The sequence below is a fragment of the Homo sapiens genome, chromosome 1, assembly GCF_000001405.40.
Source record: "Homo sapiens chromosome 1, GRCh38.p14 Primary Assembly".
Classification (NCBI taxonomy): Eukaryota; Metazoa; Chordata; class Mammalia; order Primates; family Hominidae; genus Homo; species Homo sapiens.
In genome coordinates this window covers 5,974,561-5,990,977 of record NC_000001.11, presented here as the reverse complement: position 1 = coordinate 5,990,977, position 16,417 = coordinate 5,974,561, and the positions used below count along the sequence as shown (strand labels likewise).

The 16,417-nt window shown below is 49.2% G+C and overlaps 1 protein-coding gene across 30 annotated transcripts in view; it reads left to right on the top strand.

Annotated features, from left to right (window-relative positions):
- Window positions 1-16,417, top strand: part of NPHP4 (nephrocystin 4) — a 129,615-nt gene that overhangs the window by 1,448 nt on the left and 111,750 nt on the right. For 17 of the 30 annotated variants that reach the window (NR_111987.2, XM_006710563.4, NM_001291593.2 and 14 more), the window contains 2 exons: window positions 4,651-4,823; window positions 12,565-12,708. The exons of 1 other annotated variant lie outside the window; for it this stretch is intronic. Coding sequence is in view for 18 of the 29 variants with exons in the window: in XM_006710563.4 (XP_006710626.1) it covers window positions 4,689-4,823; window positions 12,565-12,708 (279 nt within the window). In the remaining 11 variants the exon portion in view is untranslated. 12 more of the 30 variants (XM_047417537.1, XM_047417538.1, XM_011541216.3 and 9 more) reach the window with 8 other exon arrangements.

The following is a 16,417-nucleotide window of genomic DNA, read 5'->3' as shown; positions in this document are numbered from 1 at the left end:
TTCTAGATGCTTGAAGACAGCACATTTGACAGCCTTCTTATGCACTGGAACACAAGTGCTCGGGAAATAGTTGCTGAATAGATCAGCAGAAGCAGAGATCTCAAGGAGATTTCACAGCTCTCATTTTGGAGGTTGGAAACAGGTGGGGAGGCTGCGAATCTGTCCTGAAGTTAAAGAGGAGACAGCATTAGCCCTGGGTTCCTTTGGTGCTCTTACTTTTTCCCTCTGGGCCTCTCTTCTCCCTTGGCCTCTCCTGGCCTCCTTGATTGAGGTAGTGGGAGGTAGTTATAATAGCTTACAGTATTATATCTATAATACTATTATAATAGCTAGTTATAATAGCTAGCTGTGTGACCTTGGATTGGCTGTTTATCCTTTCTGAGTCTCAGTGTTCTCATCTGTAAGATGGCGATAATGATGATTCTCATTTGGCAGAGTTGTTGGAATAGTAACCATAGAATGTGAGTTCCTGTCTTGCATCAGGGGCTCATTAAAAGTGGGTGTATTTTCTTCTTCTTCTTTTTTTTTTTCCCCTGGAGAGCCCACTGTACCCTTTTCTTGGGTTCAAGACCTGGAGCCTTCTCGATTTTCTCTTTTATTGTTGATTTGGCCCCAAAGGCCCCTCTGCACTTCCTCCAGGGCATTTGTATTTCATCCTTAAAAGACTTTTGCTGAAGACCCAGCCTGGTGTCATGGAGCTCACAGTCTCGCAGGACTACAGCACAGCCCTGGTGAAGCGTGGTGGCTCTTCTGTCACCTGCCCTGTGTGGGAGCAGCCGGAGGTGGGGGATGGGGCTCTCGCTCTGAGGAGGGAGCATTTGGTTTGACTCCTAGAGGCCAGAGCAGAGGTGGAAAGGAGCAAGGAGCAGGTGGAAGGGCACCCGGAGAGGTTTGTGAGGTGCTGGGATGGCAGTGAGAGCTGCTGCGGGCGCTTGGGCTCCCACCTGCAGAGTCTCAGGTGTCACCTCGGCCTCCGTGGCCCCTCAGACTAGGACTGCCCTGCCTCCACATCCCGAGCCTCAGGACTTCCGTGTGGGTGGCAGGTGCTTTCGGAATGGATGCCCTTCCGCCTAGTGTCTGCCCTCCTAGTACAGCAGGGGGCCGGCATGCTTCATGCTCCCTGTGAGGGTCGACTGGCGTATGCACGTCCTTCAGCAGTGTCCTTGGGCCAAGTGTGGCACTGAGTCCTGCAGACACCCAGGGAGAGGGCAGGAGGCACCGGGTCAGAAATCTGGGGCAGGTGAGGAGCATGGGCATCTGCGTCAGGAGAGACTTCCTCTCTGAAATCCCCACCTGGGGCCATCACGGCCTGCATTGTGTGTGAATACATTTCTGAATGTTATAAAACATCAGTGGGAAAGAAAAGCTTGAGGGTAGCTTTGCTAAAGCTTCTGTTTGGTTCCGTGACCATTTACTGAGTTGTGACGGTACCAAGAACACAGGAGGAATGAGGCTTCTTTCTTCAAGAACTTGGCCAGCGAGCAATTCAACACAAGATAGGTGACGAATGATGTGACCAAGGGAAGCACAGGGGCCATGTGAGCCTGGGGCCTGGACCCTGGGAGCACCTGGGAAGCCCTCCTGGGGGAGATGGCCCTTGAGCTGGTATTGGTCAGGTGTCTTCTGCTTATAAGTCGTGGACAGCTGTATGATTTCCTGTGGCTCCTGTAAGAAAGTCCCACAGACTTGGTTGCTTAAAAGTAGCACAAATTTGTTCTTTTCCAGTTAGGCCGGTCAGAAGTCCAAAGTCGGCTCTCCCTGTGGTGGCTCCTGGGGCTCTGGGCTGGCATGGTGTGGGCAGTTGTGGGCATTGGAGGAGAGACATCCTGGGCTCAAGTCTCCCGGGGAAGACTGATGGCTCAGTGTGGGCCATGTGTTCCTCCTTGAAGCAATCACTGCAGTCTCTGGCTGGAATCGGGGAGCAGCTCTCCCCATACATGGAATTGGGTCAGGGTCCTCCACAAAACAAGGGAAGTTGAGCGACAAAAATAGCCCACAGAGAACAAAAAGGAACAAACCAGCATGTGTGCCTGCTGGATTCACACAGGACCAGACTGAGTCTGGTCCTCAGGAATACCTGGCCCACATGCAGCATCTGCGTGCACTGTGGGTGGAGGCGGGACGCTGGGCCAAGGATGCAGCGTCTGGGTGCACTGTGGGTGGAGGCGGGACCCTGGGCCAAGGATGCAGCGTCTGGGTGCACTGTGGGTGGAGGCGGGACCCTGGGCCAAGGCCCCTCTCAGGCTGCCTGGTCATGTCCTCTCGGTTCCCACACATGCCGGGAGCATGCAGGGGGTGAACCATTAGCACAACCCTTCTCAAACTTTTTGGTCTCAGATCCCTTTACCCTTTAAAAGATTATTGAGGACCCCAAAGAACTTTTGTTTATGTGAGTTATATCTACCAATGTTTACTGCCATAGAAGTTAAAACTGAGAAATGTTAAAAATATTAATTTATTTAAAAATAAGGCTGTGACATGTTAACATAAAAACATTTTTTACAAAAACCAACTATATTATCCAAAACAAAAAAAAATTTAGAAGAGTGGGATTCTTTTGCATTCTTGCAAATATCTTTACAGTCTCCTTAAGAGAGGACAGCTGAAGGCTCCTGTTTGCTTCTGTACTCAGTCTGTTGCCTTGTGTTGCCTTGGTTGAAGTATGTGAAGGAAATCCATCCCGATCTAGTTAGGGAGGAGTCTCTTGGGTCATTGTGGATATTCTTTGCTGCTGCATTGAAACCCTACGAGCAGAAGTTTCTTAAGGATTTGTTCTAAAGCAGAGTCTCCACCATGTGAATGAACTCTTCGTGCTCTGACATTAAACTCCTTTGGTCTGTCTTGCACTTTGGGTGGATGTTTTCTTCTTGCAGGATTTTGTACCATTACGCATTGTTCAGAAAATATTGGTTCACGGAGTCATGCAGACCTTCCAACTATTGACACATTTAATGGTGTAACCTTAGAAGATCACGTTATATCACTGCCCCTCTCATCAGGAAAGTCTTGAAGAAGTGTGAAGCTAGTAGGCTCATGGTAGAGGATACAAATGTTCTTAATTCTCATTTTTGCTTGGAAACTCCATTTTTGTTGCAGTTGTTTTCCCGGAAGTGACATGCTAACTTTGTTCACGTTTGAGAAGATGTCTGCCAAGTACCCATGTTTGTCTCTCAGTCATTCTTCTTAGTGAAAATGGTGTTGAATAATAAAAGCGGTGTGTTCAGCATGCAGCCCAGTCACAGCCAGGCTTCCCCGGGGATGACTGTTGCCTTTCAGTTTGCAGCAGAAATGCTTGTTGTGTATTTTCCATTTCGTCTCACAAAATTAAGAACGTGTGTACTCAAAGGTCAAGAAGTAATAAGATTAATAGTTTTTCCGGCTTCACCAAGGATGTTCTTACTTGAAGCTGCCTTGTTCTTTTCTGTGAGAGGTTGGGAGGACCTCACTCAACCCAACCAGCCTTGGGTTGAGTGAGGCCCCAGTGGCTTTCCCTGCTGCTGCCTCTGCCCCACCATGCCACCATGGTGAAAGAGATAACACCTGGGTGTCATGAAAATAGTTTTGACCTTGTAGAGCCCCTGACAGGATCCTGTTGAACCTTGGGTTTGGGGAATGTACTTAGAGAGCTGCTGTCTTAGAAGGCCAAACCCACTTCTTTTTCTCCTTACTCGCCATTTTAGTTTACGGAATTCAACCTCTTCTTGAGGTTCAGATCTTTGGATTCTGTGTTGGCTAGAGAAGATTTAGATCCCGGTCTGGCTGGACAGGATCAGATAACACTCAAAACGGGCCAAGACCCACCAAGAAGCTGGTAACACCTGAAACCTGTCCCCAAATGGCTTTAGCAACAAGAGACTTTGTTCATGTAGCTGAAGTGTCGTGGGGTGACCAACTGAGGTCTCTAATAATGACATGGGGACCCAGTGGCCCTCACTCCTACCTTTTCCTCTCTGCTTGTTTTTATGTGTGTCCTAAGGTGGCCCCGGGCAGTTTCAGGCTGACCACCTCTTGGCCCAAGGGCTGTATTCCCTCTCTCATGCTCCCTGGGTCCCCTACAAGACAGTCTTAACGCTAGGACTGTATTTCAGCAGCCACCCACCCCTGGTGTCCTTGTGTGGTATCCAACTTACACAGCTGAATAAAACATCCCTTCATGTCCCCATCCGGAACCAGCCACAGAGGTCAGGAGAGTCGTGCCCTGAGTCTGGCCCACGGGGGTAGGGGTGGGGCGGAGGGTTCTCTGGAGGTAGATTTTATTTCTCCATTTTATTTTTATTTCTGAAAAGGTAATTCGCATAGTTCAAAGTTGACAAGGATACACAGGAAAAGTGAATCATCCCATGTTGACCCCAGGTACCTGGTGTATCACCCTAGATACAGTGTGTTATTGTACAGCTTTCATAAATTCTAAGCAAATACAAATAAATATATCTACGTTTATTTTTCCTTTTTGAAATGCAAATGGTACTTCCTAGAGGAGGCAGCATGGGTGCCAGCCAGCAACAAAGTCCACTCTTCTGGGGTTTGCAGAGTGTGGGTTTGGGGGATGGAGGTTCCTCTGGGATTTAGTGGGAGGCAGAAGCCTTCAGGATTGCTGTGACCACTGTAGCCCTCACAGCTCTTCTCTTTATTTGAATACGACTGGCACAGATCATCCGGGAAGCCCACGGGACCCTCAGGCGGGCAGGATGAACGACTGGCACAGGATCTTCACCCAAAACGTGCTTGTCCCTCCCCACCCACAGAGAGCGCGCCAGCCTTGGAAGGAATCCACGGCATTCCAGTGTGTCCTCAAGTGGCTGGACGGACCGGTAATTAGGCAGGTAACAAAATGTGCTGTTAGCAAATGCGTGTTATTGCTCTTAGCTGACATGAGGCTTCCAGTTAACAGATGGATGGTCCCTGGCTTACGATGCTTTGATTTTTGATTTTGCTACTTTATGGTGGTACCCATATAGCCATTCTGTTTTTCACTTTCAGTGCTGTTTTCAATATATTACAGGAGATACCCAACATTTTATTTAAAAATAGGATTTGTGTTAGATGACTTTGCCCAGTTGTAGGAACATGCAAGTGTTCTGACCATGTTGAAGCTGGGCCACGCTAAGCTCTGATGTACAGTAGGTTAAGGGTATTAAATGCATTTGAACTTATGACATTTTCAACTTAAACAGGATAGAGTCCCATCATAGGTCAAAGAGCATCTGTATTGATTTTCACTTACTCGTTTGAGTCTTATACCACCATACCCATTACCTTGGGCCTTGGCAGTATTCGGATGCAAAGTGGCCCATCAGCAAAGAGAATCTATGATTCAATGACATGGTCAGCACTTTTGACTCTGGGTAGGGTTTCTTTCTGCCCACAGTGGAGCAATTTAAAAACCCAAGTACTCTGATTTCCTGGGTTATTTGTGAGCCAGGTGGCCTTGTGCATGGCTCAGCATGGCCCGCTTTCAGCCTGGCAGTGAGGACTGCAGGGGCTGAGCTACGGGCATTCTGGCAGCTCTGTGCGTGGCTGGATGTACCACGGCCTTGGGCACACTCAGGCCCAGGCCCTGATGGCGGCACATCCATCTGTGCCCTTCAGCTGGCGGGGAACCTGCTGGACAAGCTGGTGCTTCTGTGCTGCTGCCCACGGGACACCCACACGATTGGATTGTCCTCGTGAGGCCCAGTGGCCGGTGGGAATGCGTGAGAAGGATCAGTCTTGCCATTGTCAACCCTTTTTACAGGATTTGGCTTGGCAAGGCCGTTTTCCTCTGCAGCTGGGAGAGTGATATTCACATATATTCAGTTGTTGGAGCCCCGGGTCTGTGACTAATTTACTATTATTAAATCACTGATGTTCTATATCGTTCAATTCCAAGCCCTTGGATTGAGCACCTGCTGTGTCTTTGCCACTGTGGTAGGTACTGTGGTGGCTGCTGCTTTTGTAGCTTTACTTCTAGCACTTCACTGTGTTCATTCACTTAATCCTCAGAGCAGCTCTATGAGGCTGCCACCACCTTACTCCCGTTTTATAGACGAGCAGCAGCACCTGCTAATTAAGAGTGAAGCCAGCTGCCCAGGGCGACGGCTTTAGCTGGGATGCCACCCTCCTGGTCTGGCTCAGCCGCCTTCCAGAAGCTCACAGGATAGTTGATAGCCCTTCCCTCTTTCCTAGGAGTTTTGCAAAGGAAATTTTATTTCCCCATTTCATTTTATTTTTATTTGTGAAAAGGTAATGCACGTAGTTCAAAGTTGACAAGGATGCAGAGGAAAAGTGAATCATCCCATGGCATCCCCAGGCACCTGGTGTATCACCCTAGATACAGTGTGTTTTCGTACAACTTTCTTAAATTCTAAGCAAATACAAGTAAATATACCTACATTTATTTTTCCTTTTTAAAATGCAAATGGTACTTCCTGTATTCCGTTCTGTACCATTCTTTCTTTTTTTTTGAGATGAAGTCTCACTCTGTCACCCAGGCTGTAGTGCAGTGGTGTGATCTCAGCTCACTGTAAACCTCCTCCCCCTGAGCTCAAGTGATCCTCCTTCCTCAGCCTCCCAAGTAGCTGGGACCACAGATGTGCGCCACCATGCCCGGCTAAGTTTTTGTATTTTTGGTAGAGTCGGGGTTTCACCATGTTGGCCAGGCTGGTTTCAAACTCCTGAGCTCAGGTGATCTGCCCGCCTCTACCTCCCAAAGTGCTGGGATTACAGGTGTAGCCACATGCCCGGCACTGTACCTTGCTTTTCAAAAAAATTCAGGCAGTATGTCTTATCGATCATTCATGTTATTACATGAAGAAAATTTTATTGTTCTTAAGACCGCAAGGTGTTTCTTTATATGAATGAGCCATCATTTATTGAGTGAGGCCGTGATTGATGAACATTTAGACTTTTCCCAGTCATTTGCTATTATAGGCACTGCTACAGTGAATAACCTCATTTTTTTCATGTACAGATATGTCTGTAGAATAATTCCTAGAAGTGGAATTCCTGATCCAAAGTCGTATGTTAAAAGTTATTTAAAACCCAATTACATGTTGTTTACAAAAAAGTGCACTCTAAGCATAAAGACGTAAACAGGTTGCAGGTAGAAGGGTGGAAAAATATAAACCATGTACATACTAAGCAAAGAAAGCTTTGCATCTATACTAGTATCAGAAAAAGTAGATTTCAAGGTGAAGAGTATTCCCAGAAATAAAGGGGCACCTCATAAAGACAGTGATCATCAAGGAAACGTAACAATCTCTAAATGTGTATGCACTTGTGTTAGGGGCCTCCAAGACCACCTCCCAGGTTTGAAGAGTCTCTAAGAGGACTCACATGACTCAGCATGTAGTCATACTCTCAGCTAAGGTTGATCCAGCAGAAGGATACAGAGCAAGATCAGCAAAGGGAGGAGGCATATGGGGGATGTCTGAGGGAAGAGGGTACAAGCTTCCAAGAGTCCTCTCTCAGTTGAGTCACACAGGATGCGTTTGATTCCTCCAGCAATGAATTGTAACAACACACGTGAAATGTTGTGTAGCATGTCCAAAATTCCAGACTCTCAGAAGGGAAACACGTGTTTAGCATAAGCCACAGTACATAAACAGTTTAGGCACAGTGAGCTCCTCTTACCAGTTAGGTGGTAGGAACTCTCTTGAAATCTAAGTTCCCAGACTCCAGCAAAAGGGCAGACTTCTAAGCTGGTCTTTCAAAGCATAACAGTAAGGTCTGTTCTGATAACTCTTTTGTACAAAAGAGCAAAATTGGACAGAACTAAAGGGAACTATATTCAGATTCATAATCATGGTTGGAGACTTTTAACTCTTCTTCTCTCAATTATTGAAAAAACAGATAGATCAGAACACTCATAGGGATTTGGAAGCTCTGAAGAATACCGTCAATCACCTTGTCATCTCTTAACGCTACTCCCAAGAAAGCTAGAGTACACATTCTTCCCAAGTGTACCATCAATCACCCTGTCATCTCTTAAACACCACTCCCAACAAAGCTAGAGAACACGTTCTTCCCAAGTTCATATGGAACAGTCACCAAGATAGACCGTATGCTGGGCCATTAAAATGTCCCAATAAGCTTCAAAGGACCCAAATTATAGAGTATGTTTATCGACTACTGTGCTTTTAAGTTAGAAATAAATAATATGAGATCTAGAAAATCCTCAAATAGGAAATTAACATACTGGATCAAAGAAGAATTAATAGGGAAATTAGAAAATAATTTGAACTGAGTAATGGAAGAAAATATACAGATTTATAGGATATAACTAATACAGTTCTTTGAGGGAAATGTATAGCTTTACATGACTATATTAGAAAAGAAGAAGGTATAAAATCAGTGACGTCTGTTTCCTCCTTAACAACCTAAATAAAGGAACAAATTAGATACAAACCTAAATAAAGGAACAAATTAGATACAAAGTAACTAGAAGGAAGGAAATGGTAAATACAGTTATGCATGGTTCCTTGACAGTGCCGACACATTCTGAGAAATGGTGTTAGGTGATTTTGTCATTGTGCAAACATCATAGGATGTACTTACGTAAACCTAGAGGGTAGAGCCTGCCTCACACCTAGGCTCCATGGTATAGCCTGTTGCTTCTAGGCTACAAACCTGTATGGCACATTACTGTACTGAATACCATTGGCAATTGTAACACAACGGTATATCAAACATAGAAAAAACAGTAAAAATATAATATTACAATCTTAAGGGGCCAGTCATATATACAGTCTGTTGCTGATCGAAATGTCATTATGTTACACATGACTGTATATGAGCAGAAATCAATAAAGGACAAATAATAGAGAAAATCAGCAAAGCCAGAAGTTGATTCTCTGAAAAGATTGATAAAATTGATCAAGACAAAAAAAAAAGAAAACACAGACTACCAGTATTAAAATGAAAGAAGCATCATGATAACGTACGCTACAGAGGTTAAAAATACAATGTTGAATTTTATCAGATACTAAAGGAAGAAATAAGACGAATTCTAGACAAACTCAGAAAATAGAGGAGGAGGGAACACTTCCCAGCTCATTTTTTGAGGCCACCATAATTCTGATACCCAGTCAAGGGCACTACAAAAAAAAGTACAGACTTGTATCCCTCATGAATATTAACACAGCAGCCCTGAAAATATTAAGACAGCAAAGCCAGCAATATGTATAAAAGATGGGGTATTAGGATCAAGTGGGGCTTACTGCAGGAATGCAACGTTGTTTTATTTACAAAGATCAATCAAAATACAGTATTTAAAAGAAGATAAATAGAATTCATATAAATTCTATAAATAGAGTTTGGAAATAGATGATGGTTTGGTATAGATAGTCTTATAAGTTTGTATAATTTTAGTTGTTTTGAGAATTGATAGCTTTAGATAATGGCCAAAGCTTGCTTCCCTGTGAAAGGTGTTGGCTGAAGAATATTACATGCTTGTTTTGAATTCAGGGCACTTTATTAATGATTTTAGTATATTTCTTTTACTGTCCCATTTACTTTTTTTGTTTAATTTTACCATGATCATTGCTTATATTTCTTTATTTTGGGATGAGTATTTCAGTTCAGCTTGATATGTATTGGGCACCACGATATGTTAGGAACCGTGCAGATGACACAGAGTTGACTCTGCCCTATACTGTGTCTTCAGGAAGCTCTCAGTGGATTCTTATTTGAATAGACTGGATGTGAAGTAGCATAGAGGTGGTGGGAGGGTGGTTAGGATCTGGCATTCTGGAAAGAAGCCCAAGCCAGCGACGGTTCTGGGAGCCACGGGATCCTGCCTGAGAATGGCCTCCTGAGAGTGCAGGAGAGGAGGAGGAGGAGGTGGCGGTGCTGGGGGAACCCAGGCAGTCCCGGGTGAGGAGGGGCACGTGCAGAAGCTTTGCCTAGGCCCCAGGGACAGAGCAGGGAACAGACTATTTCAGGCTTGTGTCCTCAGAGAGCTCACGTTGTAGATGGGGGCAGCAGACAGTCAACATGGAAAAGCCAGGGGGTTGCTCTGGGGAGAGATGAGGCAGGCTCAGAGGGCAGGTCTGGATGCGGGAGGAGCTGAGGAGGAAGAGAGACTGAGGGGAAGAGGGAGGAGGACAGGGAGGTAGCGTGGTAATGGGAGCTGGGGGCCAGGCCCCGGTGCGTGGTGATGGGAGCTGGGCTTGGAGTCTTCAGACCTGCTCTGCCCACCTTCCCTGTCCTCATGGATAACACCACCTCCCTCCACGTTGCTTCACTTGAGATGCGAGATTCAGTACTGGGCCTGGGAGGGCTGGGCCGACCTAGGCAGCTGGCCCTTCCCACTTTTCTCCCTTCATGACCACGCAGCCACTCCTGCAAAGCAGCAGAGCCCAGCGGTGCCTGCTTCCTGTCACCCTCCCTGCCCCTCCCTGTCTCGCCTCCTCCTAATTGGCCCCTGCTTCCACTCCCGCCCCCACATGGCAGCTGCGGGAATTTTCTTAAATCCCGAACCAGATTGTGTCATTTCTGCTTAGAATCTCTCCCTGGCCTCCCTGCATGATTGGAGTGAGAACCCAGCTTCTCCTCGCGCCGTGAGGCCTGCCTGAACGCTCTTGCGCCTGGCGCTCATTCCTTCTCTCCTCCCTGGCCCAGCCTGCTGCAGTCCGGTGGGCTTTCTGCTTAGAATGTACCTGGGACTGGTTTCCATTTAGGGGTGGTGAGGCCAGCGGATCAGGAGACAACTCAGCTGAGACCCTGTCTGTTACTCAGGGCTCCCAAGACGAGGGGTAGGCCATGTCCCACAGGCCACCTGGGGAAGCGCAGGGTTGGTCAGGAGGCAGGAGGGTGGAAGGGAGGCATGGGCAGAGACTTGATTATGGTTTTGTGGGAGGACTGGGCCAGGGAGGGTGGGCAGCTGGACGGGCTTGCGTTGGCCAAGGAGAGTCATGTCGTGGTCTCTGAGGTGCAGGGATGGCCCGAGGTGTCTGGTCACTGACCCTGAGAGACCATGGCAGAGGGTGGGACTCCTGGGGTGTGTGAGCCAGACAGAGGTAGTGGGGCATGTGGTCTCTGGACGGGTTGGTTTTCATGTCAGACACATTCTGATAGGCCTGCCATTTGCCACCCTAGGAATTAACCGGCTCTGGGGGACAGTCTTATCTCGTCACTGAGGCCCCAGATGCCAGAGCATCAGTAATACAGAAAATTAGAAAATACAGGCCGGGCATGGTGGCTTACCCCTGTAACCCCAGCACTTTGGGAGGCCGAGACGGGCGGGTCACTTGAGGACAGGAGATCAAGACCAGCCTGGCAAAACCCACTCTCTACAAAAAGTACAAAAATTAGCCGGGTGTGGTGGAGTGCACCTGTGGTCCCAGCTACTTGACAGGATGAGGCAGGAGGATTGCTTGAGCCTGGGAGGTGGAGGCTGCAGTGGCCAGACCTCCAGCCTGGGTGACAGACGAGACCCTTTTCTTAAAAACAAAAACAAAACACAGGTACTATAGCTAAATATAGTTCCTGCACTTCTCGCTGGCTCCTGGAGCACGTGTGCTCTCTTCCTCTCAGGACCTTTGAGTTTGCTGCTCCTCCTGCCTGGCTCCCTCTCCCCAAACTCCCTGTGGTTCTTCTCATGCCCCCCTTGTTCTCAGCTCAAGGATCATCTCAGAGAGCCTGCCCTGCCCTGCCCTGCCCCGCCCCACCCACCTCTCTCCCCGTTCTTCACCATGTAAGCCCTGTAAGGGCAGAGATTTTGTCTGTTCCTTGTTGTTTCCCTAGTGCCTGGAAATGTGCCTGGCAGAGAGTCAATGCGCAGAATAGATGTGTAAGTAACGTTTACTAAGTGAATAGGTGAAAGAAAGGTGGAGGACTCTTGTCTCAGGTAAGAACCTGTCACAGAAGAGAAAAGGCTAAAGCAATACTTGCTGTAAGTGGTAAAGCTCCGGGGCAGGGTCCTGCCTGTCTACACTCTGGCTGCCGCTCTGGGCAGGGTCCTGCCTGTCTACACTCTGGCTGCTTTGTTCTGTATTTGTAGCCATGATTTCTCAATTCTCAAAGATCTGCTTTTTGCTTTGCCAATGTCACCCCAAAATCTGGGAAGTTGAGGATTTAGTTTCTGGTTATATCAGGAAGGGCTCATTTGGTTGGAAATGATTAACAAACCCATCCAAAATGATTTACGTGAGAGGCGATTTGTTGACTCACAGCAAATCCACAGCCAGCATAAGCTTCAGGTGTGGCTTGAGCGAGGTCTCAGGTGATGTCCCCTGGACTTGTTCTCTCTCACCTGTTGGCTGCTGGGAGCCCTGGGCCTCATCCTGGCAGGCGCATGTGTCTCCTGTGGTCATGTCCTCTTGTGCGTCCTGGGCTCTGGCTGAGTCAGAAGCCTGTGTCTGTTCCAAGGGACTGCAGTCTTTCGTTGGCCAGGGGAGGGCCAAATGCTTTGGTTTATAACCCCACCAAGACCAGTAGCTGTGGGAGAGAGGTAGCCTCCCAATAAGGAAACCAGCGTGCTGATATCTGAGCGAGGTGGCCCCATATGCACCCACATGGCCTGCCAGTGACCTCCTGGCTCATGGTGCTCAGACTCTTGAGGGTCAATTCCCCGTTGTCTCCTAGGGCGTGCTGGAGGTACTGTCAGAGGTTGAATGCCATCTGCGAGTGTCTTTCTTTGATGTCACCTACCGGCACTTCTTTGGGAGGACGTGGAAAACCACAGTGAAGCCGACGAAGAGACCGCCGTCCAGGATCGTCTTTAATGAGGTGGGCCCTGGTGATGGTGGCAGGGGCTGCTCCAAGGCGGAGGGTGTGTGTGCGGGTGGTCCTGGGTGGCAGCCCAGAGACTGGGGCCTTGCCGAGACCTCACAGCGCGTCTCAGACTTGTGGGTCCAGGCAGCACAGAGCTTAGTCTAGCGGCAAGCGCTTTGTTACCAAACAAAATCTTATGTGGAAGCCAGTTGTCTTAAACAGATGAGAGAGCTCTGCTCTGCTCTGGTTGAAGGGTCAGGGGAATGGGGGTCTTGTCACCTTCAAGGAATCTTGGAGTTCTTGGGAATAAGTTGGGAAATGATTGACCTCATCTATGGCTGCTGCCACTACTGCTCCCTCTCCTCCTCTCCCCTCCCCTCTCCTTCCCCCTCCCCTCCCCCTCCCTTTCCCTTTCACCGTCCCCTTCCTTCCTTTCTTCCCTCCCTCCTGTATAGACAAACTAAGATTTAGTAAAGTGACTTGCCCAGGTAGCAGGTATCAGAGCCTGGACTCACACCTGTGCCTTCTGTCTTGAGACCGGCAGGTGGATGGGCACTGGTTGAGCAGCGTGTTTTCACTCAGGTGGTCTTGCGGCTGGCCACCCTGCGGGCCGGCATGCTCTGTCTCTGTGGTTCACTGCACAGCATACATTCCATTCAGCACCTGCTCTCTGCAGGGCATCATGCTAGGCTCAGGGTGATGATGGCGCTCACCTAACAGAACTGCAGACTGTTTCGGAGACGCACTGAGCAGGTAACAGAGTAATTGCAAGTTGTGTTAAATTCTCAGGAGGAGACCGATAGGAGAACGTGGAGACCAATAGGAGAACGTGGAGACCTGCTTTAGGTGGGTGACGAGGGAGGCCTCTCTGCGAAGCTGCTGATTAAGCTGGGACTTACAGGATGAGAAAGAAACTGACTCCGTGACAAGCAGGGACGAGGCTGCTTCAAGCAGAGCAGGGAGACCCAGGGGTGTTAGGACGAGAGGAGAGCCCAGGTTTGCTGACGGGTGGGGTTGGCAGGGTGGCCCCGTCGTGCCTTCTGGCTGGGTCCTACAGGGTCTTCTTAGGGACGCTGACGTTTGACTCTTAACAGCCGGCGATGTCATGGAGGCCTTTCCCATGCCTGGCTGCTGCTTCACAGCTGAACTCGAGTGGGGGGAGTTTGAGAGGGATGGTGTCTGAGCACGACGGGTGTGCAGCAGGGACAGTGTGGAGGCAACAGAGGTGATGAGAGGGTCTCAGCTGTCTTGGTTTGATCTTAGGTATATAGAAGGAGGCCCCAAGAGGCCTGGTATTGGGACAGTTTGTATGATGAGTAACAGTGGCGGTGACAGTGGCCGTCCTTTGAGACGTTACTCTAGGTAACCACTGCCCAGGTGTGCCTTTCCCATGGGGGCCTGCTCTGGCCAGTCAGCACCCCCACCTAGGGCCACGAGCTCGTTGCTCTCCGTACCCCACCATCACCCAGCGCTTGGATTATGTGTGTCTTGACATGGATGGGTCCTGACTCTTGCCCTTCCTCCCATGGGTAGTAGAGGGAGAGAATGACCCCAGAGGTCACGAAGCTTCAATAAAAAGCCTTGCTAGAGTGTATGTCTGGACAGCTAAGGATGTGTCTGACATTAAGGTTGTCAAACAGCTAATGCAAATACCTCTCAGAGGTCTCTCTGGCCAGCCGTGTCAGGAAAGGTTTCATGAGTGTGACTGCGGATGAACCCTTAGAGTGCTGTTTCAGCGCGGGCAGGGGGTCCCCTCGGGCCTGCGCTGTGGCAGGAGGCTCGCCATGAGTTCCCGGTGCTGGCAATGCCAGACCAACTGCTGGGGATAGAGCTGTTTAGCTTTAGCTTTCTCAGATGTGCACAGTGAGCCCCCCGAAACCTGGTGTTGTGACAGCCATGCGGCGGGTGGTGAAGTTAGCCATCCTTCACCGGGAGGCGCTTCCCGTGGCCAGGCATCGGCTCAGAAGCATGCCGTCATTTCATGCCTGTCATCCTCCTGTGGAGGTCAGTATCCTGTGTACCCATTTTAAAGAGGAGGACACTGAGGTGCATGGAGATGGAATAACTCCACCAGCTTATTCCCATGTGGCGGGTGGGGGTGGGAGCGACGGCCCTGTGCATCTGACGGCTCCACCTGCTGTGGCCTCCGTGACCTCCTGCTTCTGAGGAGCCCTGCATTTTGTTCTGAAGTGTTCTGTAGAATGCTGAGGGATGGAGTATGCTCTGAAACCAGGGATGCCTTGCAGTCACCGAGGTGCTGGGGCCAGTTCCCTCCTCCTCCCTCAACCCCTCTGACTTCAGCTCTCCCTTTAGAGAGGCTTCGGACCTTCCTAAGGATCCGTGCTGCGCAGGCCAGAAGCGGGGGCTTCCATCTCCCTACTCTCTGGGCTGTAGAATCCTGATCCCTGTAGAATTCCAGTCACATGGTAGGACGATCTTTGGAATGGATGCCTCTCTCTGCCCTTCTCGGGATTATGTTCATGCACTCCGAGGGCTTCCGTTGCGGCGGAAGTTGGGCAGCACTTGCATTTCACCACATCCTGGCAGCTGCGTGTCATGCTGCCTGTGCAGTTCACAATTCAGATGTGTTAGGGAGACTAGGAGCTGGTGGCTTTTCGGAGTCTGGAATACCTGTGCTGGTGGCTCCAAGGGCAGCCGACTGTGGGAGCCACGTGGCTCAGCCTTGGCCTGTCATCTGGGTGCGTCTCCTGTTGAGGCTGGGGATGGGCCCGGGGGACTAGTGGAACATAGTCCTTAAAACCTCTGGAAAAATCTGCACCCTTGGACTTGGAATCGCTGAAGAAGGGAATGCAGCAAGGACAGTGTGGTGTGGCCAGGGCACTTTCAGCTGTGAGGGTGATGCTGAAGCCCCCGTGCTATTCATGGAGCCTGCTGTCTGCAGCTGCTATGCCCCGTGTGGGCAGCAGAGGCCAGTGGTGCCCCAGGAATGAATCCCTCCTGCCAAGCTGTTGAGCAGCGTGTTCTGTACCAGGCAGTTTCCTCCATGTGCTTGGCATTCTCATACAGAGCAAAGGTTTTGTTCCAGCTTAGTTAACTAGTTATTTAACTGTGTGTGCAAACATGTGTGCACATCCATGTACACATGTATGTGCTCCCAAGTGTGGATGAAGCACCGAGTGCTCCCAGGAGTGGGCATTCTTAGGCATGAGGGTGTGGCAGCATGTTCGCACCCTGTCTGCTAATTGCTCTGTCTACACCCCTGTGGAAATAGAGGTTCGTAAAACACCCTTTGCCCTTTTTAGGGGTGATTCTGAGACTTGGCAGAGATCTTTCTCTGGCTTTACTAATTGCCTGTGTTTTTCTGGTCTTTGCCTATCAGCATTGGTTTGGGGGGATCTGCTTTGGGGTTGGTGAGCTGCCGGTAGCAGGGGACCGCATTTGGAGCGCCCGTGGCTGTCCAGCCCCCACGTGGTAGCGCATGGACCCTGCATGCTCAGGTTTTGTGGAGTGCCCATGTCACACATGACCCCGAGAGAGGGGGCTGTGGCATGATTTTGCAAACAACGATGTCCTGAAAGAGACTTGGAACACAGAAGGCTTGTCTTGATCCAGAGCTGGGTGGTTTTTTTTTTTTTTTTCTGCAAATGATGAATTATTTGCACTGGGCCCATATGCAGGAGAGCAGTCCCCAGACACGTCTCAGCTCTGAGCTCAGAATTCTGTGTTCTCTGAGACCTTTCCTGGTGGGGAGGAATTGCCTCCA